Source organism: Homo sapiens, chromosome 6 (assembly GCF_000001405.40).
Source record: "Homo sapiens chromosome 6, GRCh38.p14 Primary Assembly".
Classification (NCBI taxonomy): Eukaryota; Metazoa; Chordata; class Mammalia; order Primates; family Hominidae; genus Homo; species Homo sapiens.
Genome location: NC_000006.12, coordinates 133,899,221 through 133,917,999, shown reverse-complemented (window position 1 = coordinate 133,917,999; position 18,779 = coordinate 133,899,221).

Genomic DNA, 18,779 nt, shown 5'->3' with positions numbered 1-18,779 from the left:
CTGGCTCTGCTACAAAGGAATTGAGCCTCTGTGGCCTCAGGCAGGAATCATCCCTGGGAAATCTCTCCCACCCCAGGAAATGGCAGGTCTCTCCTTCCCCCTTGAGATAGGAGTGAAATGGGGCTCGCAGCTCAGCGCCATACCACATACAATATCTTCTTTCAAAGATATTCTTCTCACAAAAATCTTCTTTCTCCCCACACTTACCTCTCCCTTTTTATTCTTGATTTGGTTGAGGAGTTCAAGGGTCATGAAGCCATTTTTGGACCAGTTTCTTTACAAATTATTCATAAGGGGTTCTGTCTTGAATCTTACATCTGTTATAGTGTACTATCACAACAAAAACTTCAGTGTGAACATTCTCTTACATAAAGCCTAATCCCAATGGTAATTTTTTTCTGAATTTCTTTTATAAAACATAAACTAGTTATAATTTTTGTGTCAAAATTTATATGTTTACATGTTTTTGTAAATGAAACATATATTCATGTAAACACATAAATCATTTATATATATTAATACATTAGATTTATGGGTTTTTTTCACTCTTTTATTCTAAGAAAATTTTAAGACAGCTTTCATAGCTTTGGTTTATTAGTTCCATTGCTGCTCTAACCAATTCCCACAAATTAAGTAGCTTAAAAGAACACAAATTTATTATTTTACAGTTTTGGAGGTCAGAAGTTTTAAATTGGTTTCCTTGGGCTAAAATCAAGATACAGCAGGATTGCATTCTTCCTGACAGCTCTAACAAAGAATCTATTTCCTTGTCTTTTCCACATACTACAGGCTACCAGCATTTTGGCCTGGGGTCTCTTTCTATCTTTAAAGACTCTTCTGCCTGCCTCTTCCACAGTGAAAGACCCTTGTGATTGAATTGGGCCCACCTGGACAATCAATGACAATTGCACTGTCTTCAAGTCAGCTACAGCTAATTAGTAAGTTCCATCTGGAGCTTTACTTCCCTTTTCCATTGTATATCAGTCACGTTTCAACCAGAGAAGCAGAACCAGTAGGAGAAATACATATTTTAAGAAATTTACTGCGAGGAATCGGCTTATGTGATTGTGGGTGCTGGCTAGGCAAGTCTGAAATGCAGGGTTTCTTGGTCATTCAAGGGACATACACAGAGCAGAGAAAAAATTGAGTCAACTACATTCAGAGCACGTCTCCCGCTGAGGTTATTAACAAGACAATGCTCTGCTTTCCTGTCTCAGCTTTCAAACAGCGATGACCGGAGGATGCAGCCAGTAGGGGGCAGTGCAGTGTAGTGCAAGAAGCTCCAGCTTTAGGGTCAGTCAGATGAGGTTTGAAGTCCGACCTTGATAGTGGGGCAGCCTCATGCAAGTTATTTTACACTTCTGAACCTTTTTTTCACTCTTTTAAAAAACAAAATTTTAATTTTGAATAGCATTTTCACCTTTGTAAAATAAAGAAAATAGAATCTACAAGGATCAACTGTTTTGAGGAGTTAAGATTATAATCTATGTGAGATATGCTTGCTTAAATATGAAACATATATGAATGAGCACACATCCTAGGAGCAATGGTTCAGTATTTGCTAATTCAGTGTTTGCAGCTGCGTTTTGGAACATAACTACCACAAATAACAAGAATTGGCTGTACTAAGAGATGGCACTAGGGTATCTCTTGTACATTCTTCTTTACTTTTATGCATAGTAGCAACCCAATTTCCCCTTGATAATCAGGACAAATTACTTCAGCCAATACAGCATCCCTTTCTTTGTCTGTGAATGTTATGTAATGGAATCATACATTATGTAAACTTTTGGGATTGGCTTTTTCACTTAGATAATTCTCTATAGATTCATCCAGATCGTTATGCGAACTAATAGCTCATTCCTTTTTACTGCGGAGTAATAGATGTGCCAGTTTGTTTAGCCATGAGGTTTGAATTCTAATCCTGTTAGTGGGGCAGCCTCAGATGAATTATTTAATACTTCTGAACCTCCTTTTCGCTCTTTTAAAAAACAAACTTTAAATTTTGAGATAGTTGTAGCATTTTCATTTTTGGAGCTATTATTAGTAAAACTTCCATAAGCATTCATGTACAGGTTTTCGTGTGAACACAAGTCTTTGTCTTCTGAGATAAATGACTGGCAGTGCGTGGTAATTGCATATTTAGTTTTAGAGGAAGCTACCAAACTTTTCCAGAATGGCTGTGCCATTTTACATTCCCCAAAACAATGTGTGAGTGATCCATTTCTCTGCATATTCACCAGCATTTGATGTTACTTTTTTTTTTTTAAATAATGCTTTAGCTATTCTGAGAGGTAGGCAGTGACACCTTATTGTGGTTTTAATTTGCATTTCCCAAATGACTAATAATGTTGAATATCTCTTCTTGTGCGTATTTACCATCTGTATATCTTCTTTGGTTAAATGTCTCTTCATGTCTGTGTTTGAATTGAATTGTTTGTTTACTATTTAGATTTGAGAGTTCTTTATAAATCCTAGATACTAGTCTTTTGTTGGATATATGGTCTGAAAGTACATTTGTCCATCAGTATTAGTGGGGATTGGTTCCAGGACCATCCCCAATACCAAAAGTCCATGCATACTCAAATCCCCCAGTAGCCCTGCAGAACCTACCTCTTGGATATGAAAAATCAACCCTCCATATCTGAGGATTTGGCATCCTGCAAATATTGTGTTTTTTAACTGTGTTTAGTTGTGGATATGGAGGGCTGGTGGTATTTACTGAAAAAAAAATGTGTATGAGTGGACTCATGTAGTTCAAACCTGTTATTCAAGGATCAACTTTATTCTCTTCCACTCAATAGCATGTCTTTTCTTCCTTTTCACAGCGTCATTCAAAAGGTAAAAGTTTTAATTTTGATAAAGCCCAATTTATTATTTTTTCCTTTTATGGCTCATGCTTTTGGTGTTATCTTTGTTCAGGTTGCTATAACAAAAATACCATAGACTGGGTGGCTTAACAGAAACTTATTTCTCGCAGTTCTTGAAGCTGGGGAGTCCAATTTCATGTCACTGGCAGATCTGGTGTCTGGTGAGGGCTCACTTCCTGGTTTGTAGATGTTGTCTTTTCCCTGAGCTTTCACATATTGGAAAGGAAGAGGATGCTCTCTGAGGTTTCTTTTATAAATGCACTAATTCTATTCACAAGGGCTCTGCCCTTATGACATAATCACCTTCCAAAGGCCTCACCTCTTAACACTGATGATTAGGTTTCAAGACAAAAATGTTAAGAAGACATAAACATTCAGTCTATAGTAGATGTAAGTCTAAGAATTCTTTGTCTGGCTTTAGATCACAAAGTTTTTCTCCTATTTTATTTTTTCAAAAAGTGTTATGGTCTTATATTTTACATTTAAGTACATGATCCATTTTAAGTTAAATTTGTATAAAGTAGAAAACTTCAGTCTAGGTTCTTTTTTTTTCTTTCTGCCTGTGAACATCCATTTTCTCCAGCATCCTTCATTGAAAAGACTATCTTTCCTCCATTGTCAAAAAACAGTTGAACATGTTTGTGTTAGTATATTTTGGGATTCTCTATTCCAGCTCCATTGATTTATGTGTCTGTCCCTCTGCTAGTACCATGCTGCCTTGATTGCCATAGCTGTAAAGTAGGTTGTAAAATCAGGTAGACTGCTTCCACTCATTTTGTTCATGTATTTCAAAATGATTTTAGCTATTCTAATCCTGTACCTTTCCATGTAAATTTTAAAATTATCTTGCCTACATCTATCAAAATCTTGCTGGTATTTTGAGAGTACTTGTTTTAAGCCTATATATTAATTGGAAGAGAATTGACATCTTTACTATATGATATTGAATCTTCCAATCCATGAACGTGGTATGTCTCTGTATTTATTTAGATCTTTGATTTCTTTTATCAACTTTTTGTAATTTTTGGCATACAAGTCCTGTGCATGTTCTGTTAGTTACACTTAATTTTTTATAAGTAATTGTAAATATTGTATTTTTGATTTTAGTGTCTACATGTTTATTGCTAGTAAATGGAAATATAATTGGCTTTTGTGTGTTTATTTTGTATCCTGTGACCTTGCTGAACTCTCTTATGAGTTCTGTTCTATGAGATTTTGTTTGTTTATAGATTGGGATTTTCTACATAGACAATCATGTCATATGTAAAAAGGGACAGTTTTACTTTTTTCCAATCTGCATGACTTTTATTTCTTTTTCTTGCCTTATTGCACTGCCTAGAACTTTTAGCCCAATATTGAACGAAAGTGGTGATGACTAACATCCTTGCCTTGTTTTTGATAATAGGAGGGAAATCATTCAGTCTTTCACCATTTCATCTAAGTTGTCAAATGTATGTGTCTGTAGAGTTGTGTCCAGTAATCCCTTTTTATCCCCTTGAGCTCTGCAGGTATAGGTGTATTCTCTATTTAATGTGTCTTCTCTCTTTTTTACTTTGTCAGTCTTGCTAGAAGTTTGTTCATTGTATTGTTTCAAAGAATCAACTCCTTGTTTCATTGATTTTTGCTTATTTTTCTGATTTAAATTTTATGGAGTTCTGCTTTTATCTTTATTACTGTCTTCTTTCTGCTTGCAGTCAGTTTATTTTGTTCTTCTTTTCCTAGGTTCTTGAGGAGGAGCTTAGGTTATTGATTTCAGACCATTCCTATTTTCTAAAATATGAATTTAGTGCACAAATATTCTTCTCACTGTTTTAGCTGTGTTTCACAAATATTCATATGTTGTATTCTTATTTTTATTCAGTTTAATGTATTTTTTATTTTCCTTCCTCTTTGACTTATAGGTTATTTGGAAGAGAGTCATTCATTTTATTTCCAAGTGTTTGATGACTTTCCTGTTATCTTTCATTTATTAATTTCTATTTATTCTGTTGCGGTCAAAGAACATAACCTACATAATTTTAACTCTTTTAAATATGTTGAGAGACTTGTCATAAGATCCAGGATATGGTCTTTCTTGGTATATGTTTATACGCACTTGTAAAGCACATGTATTCTGCTGTTGTTGAGTGGAGCATTTTATAAATGTGGAATACATCCTATTATTGAGGTTCTTCTATATCGTTGCTTATTTTCTGTCTAGTTTTTCTGTCAATTATTGAGTGAGGAGTGTTGAATTCTTTAACTGTAATTAAAGATTGCCTATTTATCCTTTCAGCTCTATCAGTTTTTGCTTCACATATTTTCTAGACCTGTTTTTTGGTTTATATACATTTAAGATTAAGCTATGTTTTCTGGATGGATTGCCATTTTATCATTATATAATATCGTTCTCTGTCTCTGGTGAATTTCTTTGCTCTCAAATCTATTTTTAATATATTAATTATAGTCACTTCTGCTTTTTTGATTAATATTCGCAAGTTATGTCTTTTTTCATCCTTTTACTTTTAGCCTATCTGTATTGTTTTATTTAAATTTTCATGTAGACAGCATGTAGTTGGATCATGTTTTCAAATCCACTGTGGCAGTCTCTGTCTTTTAATTGACATATTTAGACTATTTACATTAATGTAATTACTGGCATGTAACAAACTTAAGTCTGCCATTTTGTTTTTCAATTTTTAATATTTCTTAGAGATGGGGTCTCACTCTATTGCCCAGGCTGGAGTGCAGTTGTATGAACATGTCTCACTGAAACCTCCAACTCCTGGGCTCAAGCAATCATTCGGCCTCAGCCTCCCAAGTATTATAGCTGGGACTAGAGGCATACGCCACCATGCCCAACTTGTCATTTTACTTTTTTGTTTATTCTAGTTTTTTGTTTTTGTTTTTTTTCCCTGCCTTCCTGTAGCTTACTTGAATATTTTTAGAATTCTATTTTATTATCTATAGTGCTTTTTGGTGCATCTCTTTGTATCATTTTATTGGTGGTTTCTCTAGGCATTACCTTACATGTTACTGTCTACTGGTATTATTTCACCAGTTCAAGTGAAGTATAAAAATCTCACTGCTCTTTATGTGCATTTCCCCTTTTTCATCTGCAATATGATTGTCAGTCTTAAATATTTCCTCTACATATATTTAGAATTACATCTGACAGTGTTTTAGAAATTTTTGATTCAACACTCAAACATAACTTAGAAAACTCAAGAGGAGAATAAAAGTCTATTGTATTCATCTATATTTTTCCTTATCTTGTTCTTTCTTTCTCCCCGAGGTTCCAAAGTTTCTTCTTTTGTCATTTTTCTTTCTACTTAAAAAAAGCTTACTTTAGGCCTTTTTTTTTTTTTTTTTTTTTTGAGATGGAGTCTCGCTCTGTCACCCAGGCTGGAGTGCAGTGGTGCAATCTCGGCTCACTACAACCTCCACCTCCCTGGTTCAAGCAATTCCCCTGCCTCATCCTGAGTAGCTGGGAATACAGGTGCATGGCACCATGTCCAGCTAATTTTTTTTGTATTTTTAGTAGAGATGGGGTTTCACCATGTTGGCCAGACTAGTCTCGAACTCCTGACCTCAGGCAATCCGCCTGCCTCAGCCTCCCAAAGTGCTGGGATCACAGGCATGAGCTACCGTGACCAGTCCTTTCGCCATTTTTTAAGGGTATGTCTGCTGGAAACTACTAATTAAAACTTAATTCTCCTAGTTTTCCTTCATCTGGGATTGTCTTTATTTTTCCTTTCTTTCCTGAAAGAAATGTTTTATGGGTGTAGTATGCTGCCTTGACAATTCTTTCTTGCAGCATCTAGAAATTATCATGTGACTTCTTTCTGGTTTCCATTGTTTCTGATGAGAAATACATTGTTATTCAAGTTGTTTACCCACATAAGGAAAAGCATAGTTAAAAAAAGATTTTTTATTGTCTTTCGTTTTCAGAATTTTAATAATAATATATCTCAGCTTGTATTTCTTTGAGTTTATTCTGTTTTGGGTTCACTCACATTCTTGAGTCTGTAGTTTTATGTTTCTTGGAAAATTTAGGAAGTTTTCAGCCATTATATCTTTGAGTACTTTTGTATTCCTGCCCTCTTTTTCTCTCTTTATGGGACTCTGATGACACAAACCACAGGTCTTTTGTTATAATTCCACAGATTTCTGAGGCTCTAATTTTTTTTTTCAGTGTACTTTCTCTCTGTTTTTTAGAATAGGTAATTTATATTGTCCTATCTTTTACTTCACAGATTCTTTTCTCTGTCCCTTCCATTCTGCCACTGAGCCCATCGACTGAGCTTAATATTTTGGTTATTATATGTTTCAGTTCTAAAATTACTATTTAGGGCCAAGTGTGATGGCTCATGCCTGTAATCCCAGCACTTTGGGAGGCTGAGATGGGTGGATCACTGAAGGTCAGAAGTTCGAGACCAGCCTGGCCAACATGGTGAAACCCTGTCTCTACTAAAAATACAAAAAATAGCCAGGTGTGGTGGCAGGCACCTGTAATCTCAGCTACATGGCAGGCTGAGGCAGGAGAATCACTTGAACCCAGGAGGCAGAGGTTGCAGTGAGCCAAGATCATGCCACTGCATGCCAGTCTGGGTGACAGAGCAAGATTCCATCTCAAAAATAAAATAGAATAAAATAAAATAATAAAATTACCATTTAGTTCTTCTTTATATCTTCTTCCTCCTCTCTCCTTCCCCTCCTTTTATTCCTCCTTCTCCATTCTTCTTGGCTGAGACTTTCCATTTCTTTTTTGAGGCTTCACAGTTTTTCATTTGTTTCAATCATATTTGTAGCTCCTCAGTGAAGCATTTTCATCACGGCTGCTTTCAAATATTTGTTAGACAATTAGAGCAGCTCTGTCATGTGAGTGTTGGCATCTATTGATTGTCTTTTTTCATTCACTTTGAGATCTTCTTGTTTCTTGGTATAATTTTTAATTTTAACCTGAACATTTTTGTATCATGATATGGTGTGTTCTATTTAAAACTTCTGTTTTAGCTAGCTTTCTCAAACACTCCTCTGGCAGGGTCCAGTGGTAGCCACCTTATTACTTCCAGGCCGAGGTAAAAGTCCAGGTGCCCTGCTTGTCCTCCAGTGACACCTGAGGGTGGGGTAGACAAGGGTAGGAATTCTGTTTTCTGTATCGTCTCCACTGACAGTGCAGTGAAGGGGGCCTTGTTACTGCTAGGTGATGGTCTTGACTCTCCCTCAGACCTCATTTAATACCACCCTAGCCGGGAGAGGAAGGGCCACCTTATTACTGCTGGATGGGAGTTCAGTTTCCTCACTTGGTCTTCACTGACACTGAAATGGAATCATTCCATGTGTTCCTCAGATTCCAAAGTCCCTGGCTGGTTTCAGAGTCTTATGTTTGTTTAATATATATTATGTCCAGGGTTTTTAGTGGTACTTAGCAGTCAGAATAGAGAAAAATACATCTACTTCAGTTTCCTGGAAGCAGATGTCCTCAGTGAAAATTTTAAAAATTTGGTAACACTTAATATTGTCAAGAGTGTGATGAAATCTCAATACTGGGAGTATGAACTTTTTCAAATTCGGAGGAGAGCAACGCCCAAAATTCAAAAAGATCAGGAATCCTACTTGTAAGGATCTACTGTATACAAATACTAACATCAGTGATTTAAGAATAAAAATGTTTACTTTAGTGTTGTTTGTAACAGGGAAAATAATAAGCAATTTAGCTATAAATAATGGATATAAATAATATATGTGTATATATTCTCTAAATAGAGAAATGTTTAAATATATATAATATACATTAATTATGCTATCCACACAATGAAATTACAGGTGGCCAGTCTTATTTTAAAAAAAAAAACAAGCAACGAAATAGGATATGTAGCACATTCCTTTTTTTTTTTTTTGAGACAGTCGCTGTCACCCTGGCTGAAGTGCAGTGGCCTGATCCCTGCTCACTGCAACCTCCACCTCCTAGGCTCAAGTGATCTTCCCACCTCAGCCTCCCTAGTAGCTGGGACTACAGGCATGCATTACCACGCCCAGCTAATTTTTGTATTTTTTGTAGAGATAGGCTTTTGCCATATTGCCCAGGCTGGTCTTGAATTCCTGGGCTCAAGTGATCTACCCGCCTCAGCCTCCCAAAGTGCTGGGGTTACAGGTGTGAACCACTACGCTGGCCCTTCCCATTTTTTTAAAAATGAAAATTGTTGAGTGGGGCTTTGCAGGTTTCTTAAAATTGATACCTAAGGCTATAAACTGTGGACAGAGAGGCATCAAGTGTCCTATTTTAAGAAAGCTCAAACATTTGTGGGCTGACAACACTATTAGAGCTTATAAGCAACTAGGCAAATTCTCACTACTACCTCCACTCATTATCCCTGGGCATCCTCCTTCCTCCAGTCTCAACCATTGCCTCAGGGCTCCCCAATAGCCCTATAAATAGGAGATCTTGGATAGTGGTAAGGTAGGGAAAAAAAATCTGTGGAGTCAGATGTTCTTGGTATACATGAAAACCCTGTTAATTCTCCACTGACTTCCCACGGAAAAAGGTAAGGGGATGCTTCTCCCTGTACACAAATCAAGTAAGGAAAAGAGGGGCATGATAATTGCTTAAGACATTGAAGGTACCTGAAAAAAAAATCTGAAACTGGCATCTTGTTCCCCAAAGGAATTTTTTGGATTTTAGCCTAAGTAGTTGCTTCATCAACTATGCATCTGCATGAACAGGTGAAGACAGAACTGGAGACAAACGGCAGACAGATGAGAGTTGACCAGGACATGAGGAGACCCCGATGGCAAGAGCACAGAGGCTGACGGGGTTGTGAAAGCTAGACACAAAGATACAGAGACAAACTCCACTCCAGAGAGCTGTGCAGAAGGGTTGCTCCAAGGCATCCTCTCCATTCCCAATGCATTCCCCTCTGGAAAAGAGCCTGCAGAACTTATTGTTGAGCCCACAGGAGAGAAAATTTTCAGACTCTCGCTATCTAAAAGTTAGCCAGAGCAAGAGAGAAGCAGCAACAACCAACAGAGAACCAGGCCCGTGGGCAGTTAATAAAGACAAATCCTCTCTCATACACCCTTCAACCCCCAACACCAGACACATAAGACCTTGAATAAGGTAAAGGAAAAGATAAGTCCGACTCCTGGCCAGGCGCAGTGGCTCATCCCTGTAATCCCAGCACTTTGGGAGGCTGAGGCAGGAGGATCACTTGAGGTCTGGAGTTTCAGACCAGCCTGGGCAACATGGCAAAACCTGTCTCTACTGAAAATACAAAAATTAGCTGGGTGCGATGGCGGGCGCCTGCAGTCCCAGCTACTCGGAATTGCTTGAACCCGGAAGGTGGAGGTTGCAGTGAGCTGAGATAGCACCACTGCACTCCAGCCTGGGCAAAAGATTCAGACCATCAAAAAAAAAAAAAAAAAAAAAAAAGCTAGACTCCAGACTCCTTTGTCCTCCTCTTCAACTGAAGTGAATGATTTGGTGGAGAAGCTGAAGAGCAAACCCACTGCAGGTCCCTGGAGGGACGGCCCACAGCAAGTGGAGGAGATGAAATCTACATCAGATATGAGATCTGAGTGGTCAACTGGAAATTATTGAATTTGTCTCTTAATAATAAGGTGTTGGAAATGCTGTAGCATCAGCCCAAGATATTATTAGGGATCTGTTCCCCACTAAGGAAAGGAGATTTGACATAGCATGGATTATAGAAAAATGAAACTGGTTTATGAATTATTCATATGAAGTTGAAGCTGTTAATCAACATGTGATATTCACATGTATGTACTGTATGTATGTTTGTATATACCTGTTTGTATATTCTTGTTAGTCTATATGTTTACATTTTCTCTAAGGGAAGCAAACTATTTAGAAGGATCCACACTCCATTATTAACAATCGTCACAAAATTGTATCTATAAAGTTGGAATTTATAATAACCAACATGTTTTACATTTGAGAAACAAAAATGTTTCCTATATAAACAATGGGATGTACAGTTCCAGACAGATAAGAGCATGCCCATAAATTTCATAAAGATGAAAAAGGCTTTATTGATTGATGAGAATAATCTTTCACCTTTGCACCCCACACATCTCAATGCTCTGAGCACCCACTGGTTTGACTGCCAAGCTGTGGCCTTTTGATTAATGAATTCCTAAGAGAATGACCCTGTCTAGGGTCATTTTAAATGTAAAAATCCCTGAGGAATAAGGGGCAAGGGCTGGGTTGAAGTTTGGAGCTACTCCCTTAAAGTAATCAAAGTGGTGGCTCTGACTCCATTGGGTGAGTTTTGGCTCCTCTTACCTTCCTGCTTTGTTGAAAGCTTTCATTCTTCTACTGGAAACAACATCAGCTTCTTTGGGACAGCTAGCTCCCTCCTATCCTGTGGATTCCTGCCCCTATCTCTGCTGATCTTCTGGGAACAACTTCCTGGTGTTCTTTTCCGATTAGCTATAGGAAATCTCCGCTTTCGGTGACTTCTCTTTAAAAGAAAGTTCTTACAGCACAGCAGTTTGCTCTCCTGGGACACTGTTCTTTCAGGTCTCAGTGGCTAGTTTAGGGTTTAGGGGATGATTGACTCAGTTGCTCATTCTCTCTGGAACCAATGCCCTCTTCAATATCCAGACCCTGTGGAGCAGCTTGGCCCACTCTACTCCACTCCTTTGCACTCATGGTAGTGTTTTTCTTGAGGCCGTCCCTGTCCCCCTTCCACTCCAGTTTCCTTTGGGGATACACAGGTTCTCAGGTCTGCACATCTCTTACCTCTAGTTGTAAACAGAGCTCAAGTTATTTCTCACAGGACTTCTGAGTCCATGCAAATCAAGGAGCATGACTGAGCCTTTGCTCTACATGTCTCTCAACATTTCAGAATGGTAAAGTTCATCAAGAGGCAAACATGACCAGACCACATGGTGGGGTGGTGGTGTCTAACTCCCGCTGACCACATATCAGCAATTACTCAACTCAAATGCCACAAAGGGAAGTAACTTGCCTTTCAGAGCAATCCTGGGACAATTCTGGGAGTGGAAACCTTCTTTCTTTTTCTTTCTCCCATTCTGTCTGTCTTTCTCAGTACAAGATCTATAAGTAAAGTTCCCAAAACCTGATTTGAAAACAATCTGGAAAAATAACAATGAAGTCAATGAAATATCTTGGACAAAGATTTAAAAGAATAATATTCAGTGTTTATAAGGGTTTATTTTAATGGGCATTCTTGTATACTGCTGGTGAGAGTTTGAATGGGTACAACCCTTTTGTAAAGCAATTTTGCAATATGTATTCTTAAAGAATTACTACTAAGATTCCATTATAAAAAACATAATTTAAAAAACAAACAAAAAAATTAAAAGAAAAAGAAAAAGAATTTGAGAGGTAATCAAAGATTAAGGATGTATGAAGATATCCAATGCAGAATTACTTATCATAGAAAAGATTGGAAACAACTTAAATGTCCAAAAATAAATTATTATTTATACATTAAATGTGATATTTAAAAATATTTAATATAATGTTTTCCAAAACAATTGTATGAAGTGGCAACAGGCTTATTCTGTAATATTAAGTGACAAAAGTAGAATATAAACTGCATATACAATATTAACCTAATTTTGTTATGTTTATCCTCTATGTCTCTGGAAGTAAACCCTTTCTTCCCAAATGCTTTAAAATAATCATAATGATTTTTATGGTTAGAAAACCAAATTAGTTAACAGAATCTGTTTTAATTTGGCAACGATCTGTTTTGGGGGTTTCTGGTTTCGGGGGTTTCTGGTTTCGGGGGTAGAAGCCTCTCATGGTGTACTGTGTCTTTAAAGGTTCTTAGAGATGGACTGGAAAAACAAAAAGTTGGAAGCCAGTTTATTCACTCCCCCACAGATGTAGTTTTAATTGTTCTCATTGTTTCATGTTCTCCTTCAGTCTTTGCCCAAGAACGTTTTTTAAAAAGTTGAAAATTGATCCAAAAGTGGTCATGGTATGAATTAGTGGAGAGGAAATAAACTCATTCATCTCAGTCAATCATTCTCTTAACCTGCAGAATGGTTAGACTTCCCTCTATGGCAAGAGGAAAAAAAAGTTAAATTAAAAATTGAGTCCTAGTAGTGAACTAAGTGATTTCTGGTGGGGTATAAAATAAGAAGCAATTTAGAAATGTGTATCAACATCCTAAAACTGGTCATGATCTTTGGCCCAGAAGTCTACTTCTGGAAGATGGAGACAAGGATCTAAGATGGGCATCCCAGCTCCAAGCAAAACTGCAAAATCAGACACAACCTAAATACCTGGAAATCATGGAATGGTTAGCTAAACTGTAGATGGAACAAATAACATATGATAAAATATTAAATGTTTTGAAGGTTTAGCAAGTTCTCGGAGTACCATGCTCTCTTCTCACAGAGGGACATCATCCTTCTCTTCTCAGCCCCATTTTGCTTATGCAGCCATAAGCAAAGTTGAGATGGGTCCCAGACCTAGGGTCATAACAGTAACTAAACAGATGTGAATGTATAATTCGTTTCAGGATTTTTTTTTAAATATTATGGAATGTGGAGAAGGAACTCATTCTAATGAGAGAGAGACAGTCTTAGAAGCAATTTCATGCTCTTTTTGGTATTGGTCCTAACTAGTTTTTAAGACTTCCTATAGCATACAGTTGAGACCGGGTGGGGTATTTATCAGACCAAATAACAGTCTGGTTCAAAAACCTTGGGATTCTTCTCTAGAGTTGTAACTTTTAAAAAATTGTTTTTAATGTTAGAAGGAACTTTAGAAATCTTACTGGTGAAGAAACCAAGGCACAGAGAGATTAAGTGACAGTTTGGATTATAATACCAAAAGACACATTTTTAAACACCATAATTGTTAATGTTGAAATCCTGAAAGAGCAAAATCCTCAAACTCTAAAAATCCTAAAATCCCCAAATCCCAAAATCTCAAACATCACCATCACAGGATAGTTGGATTATATTTGACAAGCTCTTATGAACCATCTCCATGCAAATTGCCCAAATCTATCCCTATATTATACTTGTTTATATGCTGAATTTTCTTTTTAGTTTTTAAATTTGCTTTTCCTTTTTTTAAAAATTTTCACTATTTTAAATTGTCAGCATTATTTCTTATAATTCTACACGCTATGTATTTAATCTTCACATCATTTCCAATATTGGAGGTATAAATCGTATAGAGACTTTTAGAGCATTCTAATTTGTTTTATGCATGTTTTGCAAATTTGACTCCATGAAGATGCATTATCAGAATGTTGCCTTTGTGTGTAAGCATTGTGCATGTACATAAAAATGTTAAAACTTCTTCAATAAATGAATAGATGTTCTTTTGTACATCTGCATTTGTGAAAGGTAAGATTTCTCAAGATCTCAGCTCTTAGGGTAACTGTATATGTGGTGGTGACCCATTGAGGTTTTCAATTGATCTTATCAGAAGGTTATGGTTGTTCATCATGGTATTTCAGATGGCCAGAGTTATAAAGTTGGGTACACTCAACTACCAACCATAGTGATATGCATTGATCCATTTCCTTTTCTGACCTACTTCCTTGTGAATACAATTTGTCTGCTCATAACTGTTTTGTCCATGTGACTGTCACTAGTATGCCTGAGTGCCTATGTTTGCAAAAATATATACATTATTATGGCTTATTTTATTATGTAAAGTGGCCTATGAAGCCTTCTGTTGCATTTTTATGCTTCTCAAGTAAATCCCCTTTTTAAAGTATAAATAAAAATCTTTTAAAAAATTAAATTTTTTTTTCAGAATTATATTTTTGAGATTCTGATCTTTTGGGATTCCAACATTCAGGTTTATAGCATTTGGGATTGTGTCTTTTGGGATTATGATCAGCTTCCATTAAAGGATTTGCTTGGGGTCAGAGCAGCTAGATGGCAGAGCATCCAAGCTCAAGTCTATCTATGAGCTTTTGAAAATACCACTTTTTGGTTGGTGTTATGGGTCACGCCAGTAATTCTAGCACTTTGGGAGGCCAAGGTGGGCTGATCGCTTGAGCTCAGGAGTTTGAGAACAGCCTGGGTAACATGGAGAAACGCTGTCTCTATAAATAATATTAAAAAATTAGCCAGGCAAGGTAGCACACAGTAGTCCTAGCCACTTGGGTGGCTGAGGTGTGAGGATCGCTTGAGCCCAGGACATAGAGGCTGTAGGGAGCCAAGATCGCGCCACTGCACTCCAGCCTGGGTGACAAAGTGAGACCCCGTCCCCCCCCCCCAAAAAAGGAAATATTACTTTTTAAAAAACTTATTCTAATACATTTGAATGTACCTGATATGAAATATTGAGAAGGATAGTGGAATTCAGTATCATATAATTTATGAGTTAATGTATAAGATTCAAAAGAGAAGAAAAAGCAAAAGACAGGTTCTAGAGACAAAAAGGTTTGGAAAATTGATGAACTGTTTGAGGGGATGGTCCCTAAGATGATGCAGAGGGCCTTGGGAGGTGGGGAATGAAAAATTAGCTCAGCTATCACTCTGATGGTCTATCATTCATAGTTTTTGAGTTGATTTTCCAGTAGTGGAGGTAAGTTTCTGTGAACACATCTATCATATTTAAAAATTTTTTCACTTAGGACCAAAAGTACATATTTACAAGATGGCTGCCCATATCCATGTAGCAGAATGATGGCCCACCGTATATAGCTCATCTCCAAATGGCCAGAGTCCAATTTCAGCCTTGGGAAAATAAAAACCTCCAGGACAACTACCTTAGATACAGGGAGGGATCTTTTGGAATCACTTCTTCAGATACTTGCCCACCATTGGTTAATTGGTTAGTCTGGGATAGAGGCAGGTGGGAGTGCTCCATTTTGGGCTAGCTACATGAATGGCAGGCTGAGGTGTCAGTAGCCTAGTGGTAGAGTACGGCAGGGGCAGCCAGCATGTCCTGGTAGCTGACCCTTGTGGAAACTGGCACAGCTGGCAGTTTTCAGAACACAAGATTGCCCTCCCCTGCCAGGTCCTTGCAGAAAAGTGATTGGGTCTTCTGAGGAATACTCAAGCTGGAAGTCAGGAACGTGTCCTCTAATTCAGCTATTTCCAATGTGTAGCACAGGGTCATGCATACGGTGGACACTCAATGATGATGCATATAGCCAGGCAGCCACAGATATAAGAGCAAGCCCCAGCAAGAACAGTAGAGTCCAGCTCAGAGTGAAATGAGTTACTATATATCATCATTCTAAGATGCATTTTCTCCCCAAATTTTCACTTTTTTTTTTTTTTTTTTTTTTGAGATGGAGTCTCTCTCTGCCACCTAGGCTGGAATGCAGTGGCACAATCTCAGCCCACTGCAGCCTCTGCCTCCTGAGTTCAAGTGATTCTGCTGCCTCAGCCTCTGGAGTAGCTGGGATTACAGTCACACACCACCACACCTGGCTAATTTTTGTATTTTTAGTAGAGATGGGGTTTTATCATGTTGGGCAGGCTGGACTCGAACTCCTGACTTCAAGTGATCCACCCGCCTTGGCCTCCCAGAGTACAGAGATTATAGATGTGAATTACCACGCCTGGCCCATTTTCACATTTCTAAAATCAGGATGCATCTTAACATTGGTCTCTTTGTTTCAACAATTTGTATTGTCGGAGCTATAATGGATTCAACTGCAGTTGAAGAATGTCTTTACAAAGATTATGCTCTGATTCCATATTGAAAAAATGTTATTTTATGCATAGAAAGTAATGGAAATAGAGAATCAATGTGTAGTAACAAAGGCATTTGCCATTGGAAGAATATCCATAATTCCATATTTTCTTACAAATTAACATCAAAGTGCTTTTTGGGGCATAAGAAAAAAAGTAAACAATAAGTAGATGATCCTGTGATATTTGGTTACTGAGATACATGCAAAGGATTGCCTAACACAGGCTGTATTAGTTTCCTGTGGCTGCCTTAATAAATTTCCACAAACTTGGTGCCTTCAGCTGACAATAATTTACTCTTCTCTTAGTTCTGGAGGCTGGAAGTTCAATGACAGTTTTGTTGGGTTGAAATCAAGGTGTAGGCGGAGCCATGTTCCCTTGGAGGCTTTAGGGGACAATCTCTTCCTTGCCTCTTCTGGTTTCTGGTGGCTGCTACTCTTCCTTTGTTTGTGGCTGCATCATTTAAATCTCTACTTCTGTCTTCACATCACCATTTTCTCTTCTGTGCATCAAATCCCCCTCTCCCTTTCTCTTATAAGGACACTTGTGATGGCATTTAGGGCCTACCCAAACAACCAAGGATAATCTCTCCATCTCAAAATCGTTAATCATATCTGCAAAGACCCTTCTTCCAATTAAGGTAATATTTACGGTTTCCAGGAATTAGAATCTGATTTCTTTGAGGCCACCATTTAGCCCACTACACAGGCCAAACAATGCAACTAGGGTTAGGGAAACCTCCAAATTTGTAAGAATAAGTAAAAGAAAGCTTGGTGTGACTAATTTATGTTGCTATTTTCATTATGCTCCCTGCCAAAAATATCAAGAAAGAGTCAATATTAAAACTATAGAATGGGTATCAGTTGCTTGGAAGAAAATTACAGAGATAACAGAGAACTCTTCTAAGAAATGTTCTTAATAAACCAGAAGATAAAATTGGGTGGTAAATCACTAGATATTGACCTTTCAAAGTGGAAAATTATTCAGAAGGGCCAAAGAATTTTTTTAAAAAAACTTTTGTGTGGTAGATTAATTATAAAAATAGTTCTAAATTTCCACACGTACACAGTCTACATGTTCTAAGCAAAGTGCATTTGTAGTTTCTCCCATTGAGAGGTAAAATTTATTTCCCTATCTCTTGAATCTGGGATGCCCTTGTGACTGGCTTTAGCCAATAGAACACAGCAGAAGTGGCACTATACCTGTTGTAAACCTAGGTCCAACAGGCCTTATGACTTTCTGTTCCCTCCCTAGTTGCTACAAGAACAAACTAGCCTATGGGATGATTAGAGATGCATGGTTTAGCTGGACCCAGTGGCTCACACCTGTAATCCCAGCACTTTGGGAGGCCAAGCTAGGTGAGTTGCTTGAGGTCGGGAGTTCGAGACCAGCCTGGGCAACATGGTGAAACCCTGTCTCTACTAAAAAAGAAAAAAAGCTGGGTGTGGTGGTATGCACCTGTAGTCCCAGCTACTTGGGAGGCTGAGGTGGGAGGATTGCTTGAGCACAGGAGGTGGAGGTTGCAGTGGGCCAAGATTGTGTCACTACACTCCAGCCTGGGTGACAGAGGCAGACCCTGTCTAAAAAAAAAAAAAAAAAAAATGCATGGTTTGGTTTTCCTCATACCCTAGCCAATAACTGGCCAGCCACCAGGCATGTGAGTGAGGCTGTTCTTGACCAGCTAGCTCCTAGCCAAATAGACAGCCAGCCAAAAATGTATGGGCAAGCCCCAGCAAGAACAGTAGAGCTCAGCTCAGATCAGCAGAGCCTCTTAACTAACTCAGATTCCTGAGTAACAACTAAAGCTTATTGCTTTTAAGCCACTGGGTTTCAGGATGGTTTCTTTTATGACAAAAACTGTTACATAATAAAAAGTCACAAGACTTTCATGACTGGGATTGACTAAATGATTCAGAATGAATTAGGCTCTGAATATAAAATAATTTTTGGAATATTTTAACTAGTTTATTTTGCTTATAATTTCCTTTTATGTATCCTTAATGGCAATATAGGATTAAAATAAAGTTATAAATAAGTCTAAAAGAGATCCTTAAGTAAGTATAAAATACAAATTCTAATTTTAAAAAGGCTTAATGTCATGCTTTTATTGGAAGTATTTCTTTCCTTTGTATGGCTACAGTTTTTAAAATTTCTTTTATTCTGGGACCCTCCTACATTCAAGGTAGTTTCAACAAAATAAAAGAATTCTATACTCAGCTTTCTGCCACTTTTTCACTATATAGCTCTTGGCAATTTATT